At 51.3% G+C, this 22,819-nt stretch overlaps 1 protein-coding gene across 8 annotated transcripts in view, besides 1 other annotated feature; it reads left to right on the forward strand.

The window, feature by feature from the left end:
- The window catches only part of SORCS2 (sortilin related VPS10 domain containing receptor 2), a 550,290-nt gene that overhangs the window by 168,690 nt on the left and 358,781 nt on the right, over positions 1-22,819 (forward strand). The gene's annotated exons all lie outside the window — the stretch shown is intronic.
- Positions 19,717-20,420: an enhancer, noted in NCBI's record as "H3K4me1 hESC enhancer chr4:7382671-7383374 (GRCh37/hg19 assembly coordinates)". NCBI's record gives its function as "activates a minimal SCP1, AML or CMV promoter by ChIP-STARR-seq in primed H9 embryonic stem cells {active_cell/tissue: H9 hESC(primed)}" and the evidence as "EXISTENCE:reporter gene assay evidence [ECO:0000049][PMID:30033119]".

The following is a 22,819-nucleotide window of genomic DNA, read 5'->3' on the forward strand; positions in this document are numbered from 1 at the left end:
TTCAATGATGATTGTGTATGAGACTCCTCGTGGAAATATTGTCAAGGCAATGACTTTGAAAATGAGCCTGTGTCCCTGACGCTGCTTCCCCCATTAATGTCACCCCTTGACAAGAAGGAGAGGGGCAAGGCAGCGAGATCTGATTTGGTGACAGCGCACTCCTTGGGAAGTGAACGCCTACAGCTGTTGCCCAAATTAGCAGCTCCTCCTTGGGAGCACGACTTGGCAGCCCTGGCCTCAGTGCAGCCGGGAGAGAGAGGATCTGGGCTTCTCACGCTGGGCCGCCTGACATGGGCTGGACACCATAATAGCAGCTGCAGGCCCCCTGCCTCTGTTATCATAATCCCTGGGAGTCAGTGATGGTGAATAACACTCTGTTATAATGGGAAAAAAGAGAGTCTGCTTGCCTGACTCCAACAGTCCAGCAGGAGACACGCCCACAGTGAGAGAAGGGGTGTGGGGGCCCGGGGAAGGGCTGGGGACCCCACTGCAGGCAGCTGTAAGGCTTTTATTAAACTGACCTTCACACAGTGGCTAAGAAAAAAAAAAACACAACGAACGCAGGTGGAATGCTAATGCCGGGCAAGGCTAAAGCAGCCTCCAGGGTCTCCAGGTGCTCAGAGAAGCTTCTGAGTGTGGCCCCGGACAGGCACAGAGCACAGTGAGAAGCGGTGGGGGGGAGGACGCGGGGAGGGCGGTGGGGTAGTCCTACCCCAGGAGGGGGCATGCTCACTTCTCTTGGTTTTATGACAGTCTATTCTCATGTTTGAGAGGTGGAGTAAAGTGGTGGGGACAAAGGACAGCAAACTTGGGTCCAGGAAGCGTGGATTTGTCCTTGCCTCTGGGATGGGCTCTGTGATCTTGGTCCAGAGAGACAGAGCATGGAAGGGCCTAGGGAACAGCCTGTGCAAAGGCAGGGGGCTGTGAGAGAACAAGATGGCAAGATGGGATTTGAGGTGGGACAAACTTGTATTCCAAATATCCATAGCCGCCAGTCGTCCTCTGAATGCCTAAGCCAGGTGACATAAGGATCCCTGGTGTTTTCATAGACGAGCTTCAAGGCTTGCTAAGAAGTGGGCATCCCTACATACTAGAGTCCTTCCACGCCGCATCCTACCTCACCCTCATACCTCTTCCAGGCAGATAATTTTATCTACCTAGTGGAGAATCTCAGGCCCTGATCTCAAGCCCTGGAAAAGTTGTTGCCAGCATTTTCTGCTGTATTTGGTTTTTCAAGACGAATCCATTGCTAGGCACTCACTGAGCTGGTAGTATGTGCTCAACACCCATCTGGCCATTGGACCAGTGCCCAGGCTACTGGACAAATGTGTTGGTGCTGAAGGCCTAGACCCCAGGAAGAGGGCTCTGCCCCTGGAAAGCTGCGGTTCCAGGGGGAACCTGACCAGGGAGGCTGACTTTGCCTGTGGCAGGGTGAGGGCAGTGCTACCATGACTGCCATCACCATCTCCACCATCACTACCACCATCATTACCACCAGCACTATCACCATCATCACCACTAACATCACCACCTCCACCGTCATTACTACCAGGACTATTACCATCATGCCATCACCATCATTACCACCAACACCACCATCATTACTACCATCATCATTATCACCATCATCACCACCACCATCACCAACCACCTCTACCATCATTCCTACCAGCACTATTACTATCATCATCACCATCACCATCATTACTACCAACATCACCATCACCACCATCATTACTGCAATCATCACCATCATTACCACCACTGCCATCCTACTGCTATCATCATCACCATCACCATAACCATCATTAACATCATCACCACCACCACCATCACTACCGTCATACATCATCATCATCATCACCATCACCACTACCATCACCATCATAACCATCACCGTCACCATAACCATCACCATCAACACTGCCACCACCACTACCACCATTACTACCCTCATCACCACCTTCACCGTCACCACCACCACCACCACCATTACTACCATCATCACCACCATCACCATCATCACCATCATTACTACCATTACCATGATCATTATCATCATTACCACCACTACCTTCACTGCCATCATTACTACCATCACCATCAATACTATCACCACCACCACCATCATTACTATCACCACTATCACCACCGTCATTGCTACCAACACCATCACTGTCACCATAACTGTGCATCACCATTATCATCACCATCACCACCATTGTGGTGTATCACCATTACCATCACCGTCACCATAACCATGCCTCACCATCATCATCACCATCACCACCATTGTGGTGTATCACCATTACCATCACCGTCACCATAACCATGCCTCACCATCATCATCACCATCACCACCATTGTGGTGTATCACCATTACCATCACCGTCACCATAACCATGCCTCACCATCATCATCACCATCACCACCATTGTGGTGTATCACCATTACCATCACCGTCACCATAACCATGCCTCACCATCATCATCACCATCACCACCATTGTGGTGTATCACCATTACCATCACCGTCACCATAACCATGCCTCACCATCATCATCACCATCACCACCATTGTGGTGTATCACCATTACCATCACCGTCACCATAACCATGCCTCACCATCATCATCACCATCACCACCATTGTGGTGTATCACCATTACCATCACCGTCACCATAACCATGCCTCACCATCATCATCACCATCACCACCATTGTGGTGTATCACCATTACCATCACCGTCACCATAACCATGCCTCACCATCATCATCACCATCACCACCATTGTGGTGTATCACCATTACCATCACCGTCACCATAACCATGCCTCACCATCATCATCACCATCACCACCATTGTTACTACCATCATCATTGTCACCATCACCACCACCACCACCACATCATCATCATCATTATTGTCATCATCTGTACAATTTGTGAAGCCATATGCACAGGCTGGGGATTAGAATCCAGGTCCAGCCCAGGTCTTGTTGGCAGTAGGTACCCAACCCACCCTGGATAGTCTGAAGTGAACTGAATCCACTCTCAGGCAGCTTTCTTTCCAAGTGGGGAGGTTCTGAGTTGTCTTTGGACAGGGAAATGCACCTGTCTTTTCGGTGACATCTTGCTCTTGTTTCTCTCAATGTGATAGAAAGCAATGTGACTGACATTTTCTCTCTGGGCTGGATCCAGAGTTCTTGCAAATATGACTTGTCAGCAAGGCTGCTATGGGGGTGGCAGTGGGCAGCTGTGGGCTTCGGGGGCTTCAATGGGGTGTACTCCTGAAGGAGGCCTGTTTCTGGGCAGTCTCCTCCTTCCTTGGGGCAATGCTCATGGGTCAGGATGAGGTAAAGGGTCTTGAGGGTGGCACTGTCTCCCTTTGAGAATGATTTTTGTTCATTTCCCTCCACAAAACAGAATGCAAGTCAGGGAGCAAGCTAACATTGGCTTGAGCACTTGGCAGGTGCTAGGAGCTGTTGTGAGGACCTCATGTCACATGAAGTCCAAAGCTATGGGTGTTATCTCCATGTCACAGAAGAGAAAACTTCAGTTCCCAGAGCCCAGTAGTAACCTTGCCTGACATCACAGAGTGCACGGATGACAGAGCCTGTGTTCAAAAAGCATTCATAACGGGGGCACTTGAGCTCTTGCATGTGGCTCAAGGAGCTAGCCTACCGGGGTTCAGGACCTGGCTCTGCCACATCCCAGCTGGGAGCTTCATAACCCTTTGTGTCTCCAGGATCTCATCTGTGGAGTGTAGGTAAGGCTGGCCCCTGCCTCATAGAGTTGCTGTCAGGCCCAAATGAGTGGATTCATGTCCAGCGCTGAGCACTGTGGCCAGCCCATCACAAGGGTTCTTAGCGTTAGCTATGATTTGTATTGTTAGAGAGCTGAGTGGGTCCAGGCAGTTGGGGCTTTGCCAGCTGTGCTACCAGCAGTGAGAGGCCACGGAGGTGAGCTGATAGGACTGGTATTTTGAAAACATGGCCCTGGCTGCAGCATGGAGGATGGAGGAAGGAGAGGTGGCTGGATTGCTGTCAGCAGAGCTGGAGGGCAGTGCAGGGTGTGTGGGGAGTTCAGGAGGGCGCAAGGTTTGGGGGTCACTTAGGCATGCATGTGGGTGGGGAAGGGGTGTGTGGCGAGGAGGACCCCTAGGATTTTGTTTGGGGCACCAGGAGGGTTGGGGTGCAGGCTGAGATGGGGAGCTGGGACAAGAGCCTGGTCTGGGGTGTCCACCAGAGCTGTCGAGAGTTCAGTTTTGTATGTGGGGGTTGTTGCTTTCAAATGTTTTTACAATCCAGAACAATTTTTCAAGAAAGGATCATCAGACAGCACGCTGATGTGTAAAACAGAGACACGTGGGGTCCCTGCCATCAGTGTGGAATAAGAGACACCGCCCGCCTGCCCGCCCAACAGCTGCTGACACTCAGGGTTGGTGCAGACAATGGGCACCCCGGCGTGCAGGCTTTGTGCCTGTCGAACCTGGCACACCTGCAATTTATGGTCACTCTTTTTGCCAGGGCTGCGCTAATGATAATAAACAACACGTGTGTCATTTTGCTGAGCCTCCTTGAGAGAGCGAGCCAGGCACCTTCTTTGCAAAGTGTCAGATAAACTCACAGCCACCGCCATCTGTCTTACTTGGCAGGGACCAAGGGTGTCATTGCCAGGACTGGGCTGTCCCTGCCCCCTGTGAAAACAAAACAGCACCCAGCAAAACGAGCCCGGGAAGACAGTCAGTATGGGGAGTCCTTGCCAGCTGCAACAAGCGGGATCTCTGTCCCCTGTTTTTATTTGTCACAGTGACATCCGTCAGCGCAGGCACCTCAGTTCTGTGCCAGAGGCAAATGCAGGAGGAGTGCCGGGGGGTGGGGGGTGGTGGCACAGGCTCCCCGCACATCCCTGCCACCCTCCTCCTCCTTGGCAGGCCCCGTCATCTCGAAGGTGAGGAAGGAGAGGCTGGGATCCTTCCTTCCTCCCTCTCTTCCCTTTCCTCCCTTCCGTCCTTCCCTTCCTCTCTCTCTCTCAGTCCTGCCCCTGCCCTCTTTTTTAAACCTGTGTGGACAGTAGTGGCTCCACCTGGCCTTGCGGTGAGTGCGTGGTGGCTGGAGCTGCAGCAGGGTCGAGTTCCCTGCTCCCGGGCAGCCTGCGGGGGGATCCTGCTCCCCTGGCTCAGCACAGGAGGCGTTTCCATCCCATAGGTCAGTCCTCACGGTGGATGCCCCCTTTAGCGTGCCCCTCCCCCCCTCTCTCCCCCAACACTCCTCCAGGCTTCCCCTCCTCCCTCCCTTCCCTTCCCTCCAGCCTCACCCCCTCCTCCATCCTCATCAGCCTTGCTAGTTTCTGTCTTTGCACTGGCAGTTCCATCTGCCTGGAACCTCCTCCTCCAGCCTCCCATGCAGCTGCTCCAAGGTCTCAGCTCCTTGTCACCACTTCTGGGAGACCTTCCATGTCCCCTGCCCCGGCACCTCCATGATGTTTGTCACCATCAGATGGCCTGTGTGCTCACCACATGTGTTTCATGTCTACCCCCCCAACCCCCAACAGCTTCACAGGGCCAGGGACCTGCCCACTTCCTCCTCAAGTGTGTCCCTGGCTCACAGCTAGGTGCATGGCAGGTTCTCAGGAAGTCCTTGTTGAATGAAGGCATTCCTTTGCTCCTTTGTTCATTTATTCTGTCAGGTGTACTGAGTGCCTACGCCTGAGAGGCCAGGTCGGAAGGACTTAAATTCAGAGGAGCAATCTTATCAGATGGATATAGGCTAGTGCAGTGAGCTTCCCAAGCCGGCTGCCCCAGAGGAAGACACCAAGCAGTGGTGGATGTTAAAATAGCCTCTGGGTCTCCTCGGAGTACAAGATCCCCAAAGGGGAGCCCCGTGATGTGGCCCCAGCAATGACATTATCACCTTGGCTGCATTAACAGAAGTATAGGGTCTGTGGCAAGGGAGGTGGTAGTCTCGTACTTGGCAATGACTTGGCCATCCTTGGAACACCGTTCAGGTGAGGTCACACTACTTCACAAGCAGCAGCAACAAACTTGAGTGTGTCCAGAGAATGGTGACCCGGCAAATTCACGTCAAACAGAGTGGGGAAGCACAGGCCATTTGGACCCTCACAGCCTGGGCTTGAGTTTCTCCTCTGCCATTTGCTAGCTGTGTGACCGTGGGTAAGTCATGTAATGTCTCTGAGTCTCCAGTTCCTCCTCTGTAAAGTGGGAATGTGAGCCTGTCGGTGCTGCAGGGTGGTTGTGGGAGCATTAAACAGATGACCTCAGTCAAGGCGGTTCACACAGCAACGGCGCCCGGGATGCAAGAGCTAGAGCTATGGTTGCCAGGGTGCCGGCTCTTCTCGCTCAGGGCTGGGCTGTTCAGGCTGAGCTCTGCATCAGTAGGATTTGCCCCCATGGGGAAGCCCCTGCCAGGCCTGACGCTTGCATACTCAGGAGCCCGTGTTGGCTCCGACTCTCCCTAGGAAATTGCTTATTATGGGTCTGTGAAAGCGTGCATTGAATTCACGCAGTTTATTTTTAAATAAACTCGGGGAAGTGGGCAAACAAAAAGAGACAACTTAAAAGGAATGTTCTCCGAGTGTAAAGAAGACTTTGGCAGAGGCCCAAAATCTGACCCCAAATCCCAGCTCAGGAGCACAGGCGGAGACAGCCCCCAGCCCTCCTGCCACCCGGGCCAGTCCAGTGCTGTGTGTCAGCCTGGGGTTTCAGCTCTCCCTCTGAGTGCTTGGGCTTCCCATGCACCTAAGTCCTCAGCGCTGGGCTTCATGGAGACTTAGGGGATTGGAGCACTGTTTAAATACCATAAGCTCCTTTTTTTACAGAGGACTTACCACCCTCACTCCACCCACCCCTGTTCACGTGTGGTGGTGAGGCGGGTGGTGGTGCTGGGTTGATGAATGTGCCGGAATCCTGTTCCAAAACCGGGTGGCCATGAAGAGTGGACACAGATGAAGGGGAACCGCCCTGGTGTGCTCTAAAGTGAGCCAGACTCTCCAGGGAGGCTGGAGCTGGCATCAGCAATCCATAGCAGTGAATTCCTAGGCAGTGAAAAAAGCAATGTGGCCAAAAGCATGTTAACTAATAAAGCCGGAGAGAAGGGCTGCCAAGTGGCATTGGTGAAAACCTCTCAAGCCCACCCTCCCACGGGCCTGGTCACTGCCCAGGTGCACATCTTCCACCTTGACTGCCCGGACCTGCTGCCTGCCGGGAGTCCTGGCCTTCAGGGTCACGCCTGCCAATCCACTGGGTCCCCCCAGCAGCCAGCGCACCCCATCACCATGCTGGGTGCCAGGAGCTGCAGGCCCAGCCACGCCTCTCTTTAGGGGCTGGTCCTGGTCACAACCCCAGGTGTAACTCCTAGAGAGGCCTGCCCCCATGGAGGGGACCACCTCCCTGGTTCATGGGAGGGGCCAAGACATGTTCCCTGAGTGGCTCAGTCCCTGGAAGCAGTTTTAAGTTTGAAGTTGGCCAAGAGGATCATGAAAACGAATGCATAAGTGATGTGGTTTGGCTGTGTCCCCACCCAAATCTCATCTTGAATGGGAACTTCCACAATTCCCAGGTGTCCTGGGAGAAACCCGGTGGGAGGTGATTGAATTATGGGGGCAGGTCTTTCCTGCATTGTTCTCTTGATAGTGAGAGTCTCACGAGATCTGATGGTTTTAAAAACTGGAGTTTCCCTTGCACGTGCTCTTCTCTGTGTGCATCATGTGAGCTTTCCGCCATCATGGTGAGGCCTCCCCAGCCATGTGGAATTGTGAGTCCATTAAACCTCTTTCTTAGGCTGGTGTGGTGGCTCACACCTATAATCTCAGTACTTTGGGAGGTCAAGGCGGGTGGATCACTTGAGGTCAGGAGTTCAAGACCAGCCTGGCTAACATGGTGAAACCCTGTCTCCACTAAAAAATACAAAAAAAATTAGCTGGAAGTGGTGGCGTGCACCTGTAATCCCAGCTAGTCGGGAAGCTGAGGCAGGAGAATTGCTTGAACCTGGGAGGTGGAGGTTGCAGTGATCCAAGATCACACTGCTGCACTCCAGCCTGAGCAACAGAGCCAGACTCTGTCTGAAAACCAAACCAAACCAAAACACCAAAAACCTCTTTCTTTTATAGATTGCTCAGTCTCGGGTATGTCTTTATCAGCAGCATGAAAATGGATGAATACAATAAGTAAGTGCCCACTATGAGCTGGTCTCTCCTAAGTACATATCAATTCCCTGCAGCAGCCCCATTGCATGGATGAGGAAACTGAGGCACAGAGCCGTATTTGCTAAGCCACACAGGCTCCAGAGGCTTGACTTGGGGGCGTGTCTACCCCGGAGACCCTGTTTGGAATTTCTGAGATAGAGAGTTCAGTTTGGAGTGCTCAGTCTGGGAAGCTGACACAGCAGGACTCGGGGAGTGGCCTGGCCCCAGCTTTGCTGAGTGCTCTCCCAGTGCATTAGTCCTGGAGGTCCTGGCCAGCCCCTCGCACATGCCTCTGGTCGGCTTTGCAGGTTCTCCCTCCCCGTGGAGCAGATCCACCCGTGGATTTCGTCAGCGCATCTTCAGCCTCCCCACCATGGGCACGTGGCAGGGCAGCCTCCCTACCCCGATGCTCACACACATCAGCTCTCACCCACTTCCGGAGCTTTCGCACACAGTGTCTTCTCCAGCTCCCCCTCCCCATGTTCCTGCCCCCTTCCCTTCTGGAAGGCAGGAAATAGGAGCTGTGTGACCTTGGGTAGGTTATTCTCCCTCTCTGAGCCTCAGTTTCCTCCTCGATAAAATAGAGATAAGAAGAAGCAGCCACGTGAGTGCTGGGATCATGTAGGAATGGCCTCAGTGCCCCCCCAGCTTAGCTGTTTGCGGCTCTGCTCCTGGGTGGGGTGTGTGCAGGGGACCCAGGAGAGGCCCTTTTTTTTGCTCAATCCCTGGGCTCTTCCTGGGGGAGACTGTGCCCAGAGAGGGCATAACCACCAGGCTGGGCAAGGCGCTTGGGCTCCCTGACCTCCAGCCCAGGCTCTGCTCACAGCACCAAAAGGGCTGAGAGCTGCTCAGGACTTTCCTTCTGTTTGGTTGTCTGAGCCCGGACGGGGGCAGAGGCAGAGGAGATCTGGGCCCCTGGGCTACCTGCTCTGAGCGTGCGGCTCGGCTCTGCAGAGAAGCAGGAACAGGAGGAGAAGTTTGTATTCAGAGGACAGCCTGGTCCATCTGGGATCGTCATCATTATAGTTCTTCATAATTAGTTGCAGCAAAGCTGAGTAGAGAATTAACAACTCAACTAAGACTTTATTTAAAAATAAGGTCCTTGGCAGCTTGGCTGACTAATATTTTATTGAAAAATTACACATCAACACGCTCAATGATCTTCCAAAGAGAAATAACGTTGCCCATCATCCTTGTGGGGCTCTTCCCCTGGCGCGGCCCCTGCCTGCCGGTGGCGGGGTGCTATCCCGAGCTGGTGTCCCCACGAGGCTCCACAGCCCTGACAATGCCCTCCTGTGCCTTGATCCTGTGTGACATTTCTCTGGGTGGAGGGACTGGGCCCCCTTTACTGGTCCTCTCTGGCTGGTCCCTGCCTTTGCACACAGGGGCCTGTGGCTTCCATGCTTACCGGCTTTTGCTTTGCTCTCTTATCCCCAGCTGCCTGCCTAGCACGTCCCCTCAATCCCCTAGGCAGCTGCTGCTGATTCTTGAAGACTTGCCTGTGGGGTCCCCCTGTCTAGGAGCCTGCCCTGGACCCCAGTCTAATGTGGGTCCCTGCTGGGCCCCACAGCACGGGGTACGATCTTGCCTTTCTCCCCGGCTCTCAGGGCCCCTGGATGGCAGAGCTGAGGTCTCTTCAGTGCCACATCGGGAGCAGGTCTCTGTAGAGTGAAGGGAGCACTTCACATGGAGAGTTGGGGCACAGGATGTTTGTCCAGAGGTGGAAACGTGGGTGCAGGTGTCCCCCTCAACCTGCTGCATTCCTGCGAAGGTCTATGGGGATCGTGCCCACGTGTGTACCCGCTGCAGGTCTGAGAGCATCGGGCCCGTCCCGCAGCTGCCTGCGCCCTGTGTGGTGGTGGATCGGCCTCTGCTTCTAACCTGGAGCACATCTGAAGTGACGCTGCCGGGCCCTTCTTGAGAACCTTGCCGCACTCCCCTGGTTTCCATGGCGATGTCCGTTTCCCATTCTGAATGCTCTTCAGAGGGATTATAAATTCATTATTTCATACTTAGGCCTCACGCTCCGCCTTGCTCTGCTTCCACATTTCGTTGTGTTGGTAGGACATTCTTCATATATTATCTGATACAGAAAAAAATGAGTGAGTCAGAGCCTAGGTTGTTTCTTTTTCCCGGAGCCCAAGGATTGCTGTGTCCACAGAGGAGCCAGCACACTGTGACATGCCGGCATCGTGATCTGGAATTCCCTGTGGTACACGTGGGTTCTGGAGCTGTAGGTTTTAATTACTTGTGGATGAACTGAGCTGCCGCATAGCCACCTACACACTGACCCCGGGAGCCACGTGGAGGCGGGTGTGTGTCGGGAGCTGAGCTTTGGTGTCAGCTCGCTGTGGGTCCCTCAGTAGCTGCACGCCCAGGCCTCTGACGGAGGCGCTGTGTTGGATTTCACTTCGAGCCTTGGTTTCCACCAGCTGTGATGGCCACAGCTGAGATAAAGAGGACGCCTGCATGCTGGTGGCCTCTAGAAGGGCTGTGTTGGCTCTGGCAGGAAGCTCGTGGGGCCGGTGGGGGAGTGAGGGAAGATGCCTATCCTGGCAGCTGGGCAGAGTGGAGAGGAAAGGACGAGAGCAGTATGGGCGACTTGTGTGGACAGGGTGAACAAGTGGGTCTTGGGATATTCAGTCTAGAAACAGGCAGGACATGGGTTCCTTTCATTGCGGCCCTTGCTGATATGGGTCAGTTGGCTTTGGATCTGGGCACCCCAGAAGCCAGAAGGTGTGTGGATGATGCGTGTGAATCTGGTGTTTATAAGTTGGGTGTTTGTAAGTCAGTGGTTGAATGCAGTAATAATGATTAAGTTTTCTTTAAAGTTAGGTTTATGGAGGTATAAATTACATGTAGTAAAATTCACTTTTTTTTTGTTTGTTTGTTTGAGACAGAGTTTCACTCTTGTTGCCCAGGCTGGAGGGCAGTGGCGGGATCTCAGCTCACTGCAACCTCCGTCCCCTGGGTTTAAGGGATTCTCCTGCCTCAGCCTCCCAAGTAGCTGGGATTACAGGCACCTGCTACCACGCCTGGCTAATTTTTTGTATTTTCAGTAGAGACGGGGTTTCACCATGTTGGCCAGGCTGATCTTGAACTCCTGACCTCGGGTGATCCATCCACCTGGGCCTCCCAAAGTGCTGGAATTACAGGCGTGAGCCACTGCGCCCAGCCTGAAATTCACTTTTTAAAGCATATTTCTCAGTAAGTTTCGATAAATGCATACACTCATGGACGCAACACCACAGTTGAGATAAAGAACATTTCCCTCACCCCCCAGAAGTTCCCCTGTGCCCTTTGTGGTCAACGCCCCCACCCCCAAGCCCTGGACCCCCTGAGTCTGTTTTCCGCCTGTCCGGAGTGCCGTATACATGGAATCACACAGCATCTGTGACCTTCCGGGCCTGGCTGCTTTCACTCCCGCAGTCCTGTTGTGATTTGTTGGTGCTGGCATGTCTGTTCGTGACGTCAGGAGTTCGTGCCTCTTTGGTGCAACGCAGTCTTCCATCGTGTGAATGAGGCACAGTTTGCTGCTGATCCGTCGCCAGCTGCAGGACATCTTGGTGGTTTCTGTTTTTTTTTTTTTTTTCCCCTATCATGCATAAAGTGCTCTGAATGTTTGTGTGCAGGTCTTGGTGTGGATGTATGCTTCATTGCTCTTAAATACGTAGCCGTGACATGGCTGGATATGATAAATATATGTTTAACTTTATAAGAGACTGCCAAGTTGTTTCCGAAGAAGCTGTGTCCTTTTGCATTCCCAACACCAAGGTATGAGAGTTCTGGTTGCTCCACGTCCTCTTCAGCACTTTTTTCAACTTCTAAATTTTAGTCATTCTAATAAGTGTGTAGTGACATTGCATTGTGATTTAATTTGCATTTCCCTAATAAGAAATGATACTGAGCATCTTTTCATATGCTTATTTGCCACCCATCTGTTTTCTTTGGTAAAGCAAATATTCAAATTTGGGGGTCATTTTATAGTACGTTGTTTGTCTTTGTTGTATTGAATTGTGAGAAACTTTTATATATATATATATATATATTTTTTTTTTTTTTTTTTTTTTTTTTTTGAGTCGGGGTCTCGCTCTGTCACCCTGGAATGCCGGAATGCAGTGTCATGATCTCTGTTTACTGCAACCTCCACCTCCCAGGTTCAAGTGATTCTCCTGCCTCAGCCTCCCAAGTAGCTGGGATTACAGGCCACACTACCATGTCCAATTAATTTTTGTATTTTTAGTAGAGATGGGGTTTCACCATGTTGGCCAGGCTGGTCTCGAACTCCTGACCTCAAGTGATCCACCCGCCTCGGCCTCCCAAAGTGCTGGGATTACAGGTGTAAGCCACCACACCTGGCCCCTTTATATATTCTGACTGCAAATCCATTGCTGGATGTGTACTTTGCAAAAATTTCCTCCCAGTCTGTGGCTTTTCCATTTCTTAGCATCCTTAGAACTTAAGTTTTAAATGTTGATGAATTCCGTTTATCTATAGATTAATATTTTTTATGATTCCTGCTTTTATGCCTTATCTAAGATTCTTTGACTAATCCAAAGGCACAAAGATTTCTTCCCCCTTGTTTTCTTCTAGAAGTTTTACAGTTTCAGAGTCTACATTTAGGTCTAGGATCCCTTTTAAGTTGATTTTTGTCTGTGGTGCAAGGTTAGGATTGAGATTCTTTCTTTCTTTCTTTCCCTCTTTCTTTCTTTCTTTCTTTCTTTCTTTCTTTCTTTCTTTCTTTCTTTCTTTCTTTCTTTCTTTCTTTTTTGCAGAGAGACGTTCAATTGATCAGCACCATTTGTGGGAACCACTATAATGACTAAGGTATTGGAAAGAGAGATGTGGGATAATTTCTTGGGAGAGGGACTGAGTTGGCCCAGCAAGGCTTGTGGGGAAATGCTCCTCCCCCATGTGAGAGAGGGAGAAGGGCAGTGCAAAGCTGAGCTCGTACCAGCCCGGGTCTGAAAGTGGCGTGCTCACATCATGAGCAAGGTGGATTTCTCCCGTTGCAATGAAAATCGGGTGCCACGCTGGCAGCATTGGCAGCAGCCCTGGGACGTTCCCCAGACATTGTCTGCGTGTTGCTTTTCCGGGTGCAGTGGCTTGGCCTGCCCACTTCTACTCGATTCACACCATCTAGCCAAACTCACCTTTGTCTGTGCCACGTCCAGGCCTTGCCCCCATCCTTCCCGAAGCCAAGGTTGCTTTCTCAGTAACGACCAAGAGCTGGGGTCCCCGATCGCTGAACAGCCCACACATTTGCAGGAACTAGTCAGAGGTGGCTTGTACAGTGTCTCGGTCACCTCCCTGGCAGGCTCAGGCTTAGAGTCCCACAGCGTCACCTGGCCCCACAGCCATCTTGTGCTCCCTCCAGCCTCTCTGCCTGGGTAGACCGCGGGTGGGGGGAGGCTTTTTTGCTGCAGGTGACCCTGTGCTGGGTGTGTGGTCTGCATGGGCTTGCGGGCAAGGCCTGGAGCTGGGCTGGAGCTCACCTTTACAGTGGACACTTTGCTGTTGGGGTTGGGATTTTGTTTCAGGCAAATTGACATTTGTATCCTCAGAGGGCAATGTCTGAGCAAATCCACTGATCACTGGGGTCCCTGGCATAGTGACGAGGGTGTGGAATGTGCAGGGTAAGTCATGGTGATTCGATGAGAAAGGGACTTGGAGGCTGCCTTGTCTAACTCTGGCTTCTGGGACTCTCCCCTGCATCACCCTCTCTGGGTCATCCCCATGAAGTGGAGCTCCCTACTCTGATCAGAGGGAAAGTCCGCCTCTGACAGAACCTCTGTGTCCTTTCCTAGTCCCTTGAGTCAGGCATGGGGATACAGAATCATTGAATAAGGGTGTTGGACATTTATATCAGTGTCTCATTCAGATGATAAATGGAAATTCTAGAATCATCAAGGCAGCTCCATGCGCCTCTGTCTCTGGGCATGGAAACTCTCATGCTACATCCCGTGTTGGGTGAGAGATCTCAGTTCCCTGGGCCTTGCAGCGTTGCGGGGCCATCAGCAGGATACCGCGGTGGGATTTCTGAAGCAAGATCTGGTATGGCTGGGCCCAGCCAGTGAGAAGCCTTTTCTCACGCATGTCCAGTCATGGGAGCGATGCCCGTGTGCATGGATGAGATGCCAGATTGCACTTCCTCGATTGCATGGAGGAACATCTGAGTTCAGGCTTGGCTGCCCAGAACCAGCCTGAGCCAGCTTTGTGTCACTGGTAATAGCAGCTGAAAGCAGTTAAAAAAGAGAAACCAAAACAAAAATGCATGTGCAATACTGCAATACACATCCACCCCAAAGCCTATTAGAAGTGACTGTGAGGATTATTGGCTGCCGGCACTGTGTGTCCACAGAGGAGTGGACAAGGACAAATGTCTGGGGTTTGTGTCGAGTGCAAGTGGCTTCTTCCTGTGTCTCATTCAAGTCACTTTCCCTACCATCGGCCGCTTGTTATTCGTGCGCAGGTTACTTGCCTCTCTGGGCCTCAGTGGCAAATGAGGATAGTAATACCTAATCAGAGGTTGTTATGGAGATTAAATGAGGTGAATGCTTATAGCTTAGAAAGTTCTAGGTAAATGCTTGTGATACAAACACATAAGCTAGGTGACTGTGAGAATCCAATGCAGGCAGGTCTGGAAGCAGTCCTTGGCACATGGTAGGAGTGCAGTTGGTGACAATTGACCTCTGCATCTCCATTCACGCTGAAGCCTGCCTGGGCAGGACTCTGCTTCTGTGTGCCATGGGAGCAAACAGGATCTCTTTTGTAGTACAATTTTTCCCTGGTTGTAAATATAAAGCATGCTTATTATAGAAAAGCTGGAAAATATGCAAAGAGTAAAAAAAAAAAAAAAATACTGGCTGGGCACGGTGGCTCATGCCTGTAATCCCAGCACTTTGGGAAGCCAAGGCTGGTGGATCATTTGAGGTCAGGACTTTGAGAGCAGCCTGGCCAACAGGGTGAAACCCCGTCTTTACGAAAAATACAAAAATTAGCCGGGTGTGGTGGTGGGCGCCTATAATCCCAGCTACTCCGGAGGCTGAGGCAGGAGAATCGCTTGAACCCAGGAGGTGGAGGTTGCAATGAGCCAAGATTGCGCCACTTTACTCCAGCCTGGGTGACAAAGCAAGACTCTGTCTCAAAACAAAAATAAAAACAAACAAAACCAATTCACTAATACCCAGAGGTCATTATTTTCTCACTCAGGCATATTTTTTTCTGGTTCATTTTCTGCGCATGTCTATGTGTCCATACATATGCATGTCTTTGTGGGTTTATACATAGGTATGCCTGAATAAACTTTTTACGACTTACAAAGAAGGGATCGTGACCAACACTCCAATTGAGTTAAACAGGTATTTGCTGCTCATATAGTGTCTAGAATTTCCCAAAACAGCAGGCATTTCTAATCTCAAGCCTCCCCAGATGTCCTCTGGAAGGGGCAGGGTCATTCCTGACCCCCACCCCCACCCAGCCCACGGATGTTCCAGCCCCAGTGCACAAACCCTGGCCTGCAGTCACGTGCAGCCTGAAGACCGGCTCTGCACTGGGATTCGGGCTGTGAAAGTGGTTTGTGCCTGCAAAGAGTTTATAGTCTCATGGAGGAAAGAGGCATATAAGCATGTGTTTTCTGTATGCGTGTGGAAGTATAGGGAGGACATGTTGTGTCTGTAATTTCAAATATTTGTTCATGTCACATTGTACCATGGGTATTTTCTCATAACATTGTTTGTCTTTTTTTTTCCTCCGGATTTGTATCGTTGATTGAATGAAATGGTTATGCTATGGTTTATGGAACCATTCCCCAGTAGGGGTTGTTTCTGGCTTGTTATAAAGAAATGCTGCTGACGAGCACCTAGATACAGCTTCGAATGTTGACAAGCAGATGTGTTTGCCCAGTTCCAGAACTGGGGCTGTGACGGGGGGGACAGATCGGACCTTCTGCCAAGGGTCTGATTCCGGTGGAAGGGAACACCGCATGAAGCCACATGCCACGTTCCCAGCAGGCGCTCAACAGACATTCATCACTTCAGCTTCCCCTCTGAAAGCCGAGACCACATCCTGATGCATGTTTAAATAGTTCTGCCAAATTTGTTCCATCATTAACTTTCAATCACTGTTAATTTTAGACAGGGCTCTTAATTCAAGTTTTTTGTCTTTGTCAAGTTGATGGAGATGGCTCTGTTTTTAGCCCTGATGTGATGGCGGCAGGGCTCTCCTTCACCCAGGATGGCAGAATGCCCTCCGCCACAGCTGGTAATGAAATGCCAGGCGTGTGATTTAGCTCAATCAGCTCAGGAAGTTTACATGGGGAGCCTGATTTGACAGGTCTGTTTTATAACAAGTCGGGCCAGTGAAGGGAGCCTTCTATTTGATATACTTAAGGCAGAATTCAGCCATATGTTTGGGTCCCAGCAGAATCGTTCCCGTCCTCGTCCTTCCGTGGAAGATACATTGAGTTCACCCTGGGGAGATCTTTTAAATTAGATTTCAGAAATGAAGATCTTGTTTTTTGTGTCCAGAAACTTAACCCTTCCATGATTTTCTTCTCTCCAAATAAGTCACAATATACCCCGATTTTCATGAAGAAGGATATATGGTTTTTTTCTTCTGCTTTTAGTTATAATTAGACTAGCTGAACTACATGGAGAAGCTAAAGCTGCATTTATTTGTTACAGGCATATTTATATCAAATACAGATGGGGTGGGTAGGCTTGTGACTCTTCATGGCCATGAAAATGAAATGAATTTGGTGTCTGAAAGTAACCTCGGGTGAGACTAACATCTCTGTTGAAATTGACTCCATTGCTTCTCTTCAGGCTAATGTGTATCATCGGAGGGGTCCATTCAGATAATTTAAGGCACCTTTTTGGGGCTCTGTATTAGTCTGTTCTCACACTGCTATGAAGAAATACCCGAGACTGGGTAATTTATAAAGAAAAGAGGGATGATACAGTTCCACATGGCTGGGGAGGCCTCAGGAAACTTATAATCATGGTGGAAGAGGAAGCAAACACGTCCTTCTTCACATGGCATCAGGAGAGAGAAGTGCCAAGCGAAGGGGGAAGCCCTTTATAAAACCCTCAGATCTCATGGGAACTCACTCACTATCACCTATCACGAGAATGGCATGGGGGAATCCACCCCCGTGATTCAATTATCTCCACCTGGTCCCGCCCTTGACACGTGGAGATTATTGCAATTCAAGGTGAGATTTAGGTGGGGACACAGAGCCCAACCATAGCAGGTTCCTCCCCCCCACACTGCTACCAGAACACCTGTGTGCCAGGCTTTGCATGTGTCATCCCTGAGGCATTGCTCCCCATCTCCACCCTGCCCACCTCCCTCAGACCACCGTGGGCAGCTGAGAGTTATCCCAAGTCTGCCCGCATCAGGTCCAGGCCCATTCTGTGACCCTGAATGAGAGGAAAGACCACATTTCCTCTTCTTGCCCTATTGGCCACCATGGACACGGATGCATTCTTGGCCTTTTTAATTGACCCTGGCTGAGTGGGATGGACAGCAAAAGACAGCCTCTCCCTAGATGCACCTTCATTCTCGGGTAATATGCATACCCCGGCCTTTGTTTTATGCGTGTGATTTACACGCTGATCACGCACATCTAAAGCAGATGTCCTGGGTTATTGTGAGATTCTGTTGCCTCCTAGATCCTGTGCTTGGGATGTGGCTAAGGATGCCAGGTTGGAGGGAGGCACATCCGAGTATGGGCCAGCTCTCCGTGTGGGCCTGCCTTTAAAAGGAGGATCCTTTCAGAAATCGCACCTGTGCTGCAGTTGACTCCCCAGGGTGCAGCAGGTTCAGCAAGAGTTGGGGCATCCTGAGCCTTGGGAGGGCAGGAGGGAGGGCAGGATCACCACTGGGCATCTGCAGGGCTGCCTTGGGGAGCAAACACAGCCTGCGAGGTTGCACCAGGCAGAGCTGGGGTGGATGGGTGGAAGCACGAGAGGCGTATTCAGATAAGCGTGAGGAGGGCCTTCGGGAGTGGGGGCGCCCCATCGTGTGAGTTGTGCACATGGAAAGGCTGTTGGCTGGGCTGCTGCAATTACAGTGATGTATGGCTGAGGCTTTCCCGTTCACAAATGAGTTTCTTGTGTTATCAGTTCCCCCACTAAACACCCTTCACAATAGACACGCGGATACTATGGGTGTCCATTTTGCAGATGGTATGATTGCAGAGGGATGGGTAACCTGCCCAAAGCCACATAGCCCAAATGAAGGAGAACCTTCCAGACCCTGTGGCTTTTTAGATTCGTTCTCTAAGCAGAGGCAAGGGACTCACTGGGAAATATGTTGCTTTGTTTGTCAGATTTATTCCAAGACCTCTATGAAGGGCCTGTATTCCTTCAGGCTGTGGCATGCCTAGAAAACACGCTGAAGGCAGCTGCAGAAACTTGCTTTTTAGACATCACCAAATGCTATTTTTAAAATACTTTTCTTAAAATACTTCAGCTCAGACATTCAGTGCGTGAGTGTGATGATTTGTCTCCTCCTGGTCCCTGGCTCCCCATCCCCAGTCTGCCGGTTCCGTTCTGCTTTCCTGATGCCCAGAGCCTGGCTGAGGACAGGCTTGGAAGAGCCACGGGTCACCAAAGGTTGCTCAACAATGGCCATTTCTTCAAAATGGGCTGGGTTATGGTTGCTCATGCCTCAGAAAGCCCGGAGATGGGTAGACAGAAGCCATGGGGTGCTGCTGTCAGAGACGTGCTCAGCCCCAGCCTGGGGTTTGGGGGCTTACCTGGAGCCTCCACAGGAGCCTGGTTCTGAGATCTCTGCTGTCTGAGCATAGGGAGCTTGTCTGGGGGCCCCAAGAGGTGTCTGGCTTTAAACAAGTAACATTCACAGGGGACAGGCTTTTGTGGTTTCATAGAGAAGCTGAAGGTGCTGAGTCCTGCCAACAGTCTCACAGCTGTTTCCTGCCATGTTGGAATTGCACTGGACAGGTAGCGAGCTCCCCGTCACCGGACTCCTGGGCTATTACTGGGGACTGGTGAGGAAGCTGGTGTTGGAGATTCTGAATTCAAATTCAAGAGAAACTGAGTGTTTTCCAAAGTGAGGTAGTTCTGTTGCTGAGGAGGGGCTGGAGTAGAGCATCTGATGGCTTTAAAGCCCAGGGCAAGGACGTCAATGTGGTTTCCGTCATCCTCTGCTGACCCGTGGCTAGACTGCCTGTGGCAGCCCCCTCGTTCCTCCTTAATAAAGTCAGGGCGGGGCGTAGGCCTCAAGCTTGTCTTCTGCAAGCTATTGCTGTTTATTTTTGTAGTTACCTTCTATGGATGACAAGTAATGTTTGTTTTCTATTTATGGCCGTGATGTGAAATTTGCTTACTTGTGTTAAAGAAGTGGGTTAATTAGGTGCGGTGGCTCACGCCTGTAATCCCAACACTTTGGGAGGCCAAGGCGGGCAGATCACGATGTTGAGATCAAGGCCAGCCTGGCCAACACGGTGAAACCCCGTCTCTACTAAAAATACAAAAATTAGCTGGGTGTGGTGGCAGGTGCCTGTAGTCCCAGCTACTCGGGAGGCTGAGGCAGGAGAATCGCTTGAACCCGGGAGGCAGAGGTTTCAGTGAGCTGAGATTGCGCCACTGCACTCCAGCCTGGGTGATAGAGCAAGACTCTGTCTCCAAAAAAAAAAAAAAAAGGAGTGGGTTAATTAACAATGACAGCTTCATGATGTATCCTCCTGGTGGGTGATTCTGGTGCAGATGTTTGAAGATAGTCCCTGAATGATCAGATATTGGGTTTCTTGAGCTGTTTGGTCGATGACATGACAGTGACTCCTGGCTCTCTTTGGAGGGGATGGCCGCTTTGACTCGCAGGTCCAGCTGAGAGAGCATTCCAGCACAGGGCTGCCAGTGAGACACACGGAGCACAGAGCTGGAGGGCGGAGCACAGAGCTGGAGGGTGCTTCCCCAGAAGAAGAGCACACTGTGTCCAAAGCCACGCAGTGTTAGAGGCCAGCCTTCCCCGAAGCTGACATCAGAGGCTGCCCTGTGGGGGCTGCCCCTGAAAGGGTCCCTCCCTGCAGGAAGCCCAGTTTCCCAAAGGCTCTTCCTCCTCCTCCCTGGTGAAGGCTGTCCCCCGTGAGTGTGGTGTCCCTGGCGGAGGGAGGGTGGCTGTGCAGGTGTGGATGGATAAGAGGAACCCCTCAGGCAGCCAACTCTCTTACTCACAGAATGATGTAAACCTTCTCTTTGAAACAATTTCCCAGAAGAGCAGGCTCTTCTAATCCCAAGCCTCCCCAGATGTCCTCTGGAAGGGACAGGGTCATTCCTGACTCCCGCCCCCACCCAGCCCACTGACATTCCAGCCCCAGTGCACAAACCCTGGACTGCAGCCATGTGCAGCCTGAAGGCCACCATGTGCCAGGAGCCAGGGCCAGAGAGCCTTAGGCTCCAGGATGGGCAGTACAGTGGGGCAGGCCACAGCCTTCAACCAGCAGAGCAGGCAGACAGCAGAATGACCAGGCACCAAGCTCTCCATTCCACTAGCCTCTCTGGGCCAGGCCTGTGGAGTCTCCAGAGGAAACAGGCAGGTGAACAGGACCAGGGACACAAGGAAGGAAGGGAGTCGGGTCAAAGATGGGACCTCGTTCGGGAAAGGCCCAGGCATGAGGGGCTCCAAGGCCTCCAGAAGGACCTTGAAGGGTGGGTGGTGCTGCTGGTGGAGCGGGGAGGCATTTTGGGTTGGGTGTGGGGTGAGCCAGCCCTCAGAGCAGGGCAAAGCTGATGGTGCCTGGAGCTGAGCGGGGAGCAATGGGGGTCTTGGTCTCCAAAGGTCTTGACCACAGGGATGGGGTTTGAACTTTAGCATCTGGGCAGTGGGAGACCCTGATCATGTTTGAGCCTGGGAGTGACATTGCCATCATCCTCACTGGTATTTATATAACATCCCTGGTTGTACAGTGAGTTCCCAAGTGACATCTCCGGCTGCCCCAGGGTTAATGCCCCTGTAAGGTGCAGAGAACAGGCCCCTCCTGAGACAGCCCCAGGGCTGCACCAGATCCCCGAGTTGAGTTTGAAGCTGATTGCCAGTCCTCCCTGCCAGGGAGCCGGGAAGGCCTTATTGACTCCATAGATTGGGTCCCAGACTGGACTGCAAATCCTGAAAGGGGGTAGAAAATGATGCTGACATGCCTGTATGTTTAGTACTTTCCCGAAATTCTTAACAGGGTCCACAGCTGGAGAAAATGACAAAACTCCTGCCCTGGGTAAGGGGAGGGGCATCATGATCCTTTTCAATTTGAGAATCAGCGTACGGGGGCTGGAGGGGATGGTCTGCAGGTCTGGGGGGCAGGGCTGGGGCTGTCCAGTGGCCCAGGGAGAGAAGAAGGGGCCAGAACTGGGGACGGTGGGTGTAAACAGCTGCGGGGCCCACGCCTCCTGCTGGCACAGGGCTCCGTGCCAGGGTCCGCACAACATCAACGGACCCACACACATGCTTTAATTTCCTTTAAGATCAGAAGAAGAAAAAATGAACTTTTAGGTGGAGAAAATGTTTTGATCTATAATATGAAGATATGCTATTTTTTAAATACCAACACAGCCATAAAATACACCTTCTGATATTTTTTAATGGAGGAAAAGGCCATGAAGACTCCAGCGCTTCGATCCCACGGAGTCCTCATGCCCCGCGGGGCTGCTGAGGGGCGGATTTCAAAACAGGGCCTCGTGTCATGGATGCTTCTCCCAGCAGCTTTCTTGAGAAGATAATTTGGTACGGAGCTCAAGAGGGCTCTGTGTGGCTTCTTCCCAAGTTGGCATCAGAACCTCCAACCTCTACCTTCCTGACAATTCTGAGGGGTAGGCCTTTAGAGGTCCACAGCCTGCTTGGGTTCCCTAAGGCCAAGGGACATTGTTCAGAGGCTGCTGTGCCCAAATCTGGGTCTTTGCAGTTGGATGCAGACAGTGACTTCTTCCACCCGCCCCTCCTCCCCCTGCAAGAGGCAGCGCTTCCTTTGTGCCTGGCACCTCTGTTCAGACATGACAGCGTTGTTTCTAAAGAGAAATTCTTGGAGGTAATGAACATATGGTTGTCTGGCTGGGCACCAGCAGGGAGGGGGAGAGCATTGGAGCCTGGGGAGGGATTTCTGCTTTAAAAACAGGATCAGCAATTTCCACCCACCTCCCGGAGATACCCGGGCACTTTTTATGTCGAAAGACGCTCAGCACTAACAACATCACAGCTTATCCGATTACCTTTTATTGCCATAAATAGACCTGAGCAATGCCAACCCTTCCAGGTAGAAGCACATTTTGAATAGCAACGACAAAAAACAAAACAAAAAAACCAAAACAGCAGCTTGTAATTTCATTAATAATTTTACTTACAGTGACTATTAAAAAGGAGTGACGGGTGAAATTAAAATTCAATCAGGTTATGAGAAATGGAGAGTAAATAATATTTTCAAAGGACAGCTGAGGTGGAAAAGTCTACCAAGACCCACCTATTAAAATATACATTATCCCTTAAACAGATTTAATGTAAAAATGCAATTTTCCACAGATCAGCAGCACCCGTCCATTTATTTGCTGCTGACTGATTTTGATTTATGAGGCCCTTTCTTAGCTTCGTTCTTAGCTCTCTTTA

This window comes from Homo sapiens, chromosome 4, assembly GCF_000001405.40.
Source record: "Homo sapiens chromosome 4, GRCh38.p14 Primary Assembly".
Classification (NCBI taxonomy): Eukaryota; Metazoa; Chordata; class Mammalia; order Primates; family Hominidae; genus Homo; species Homo sapiens.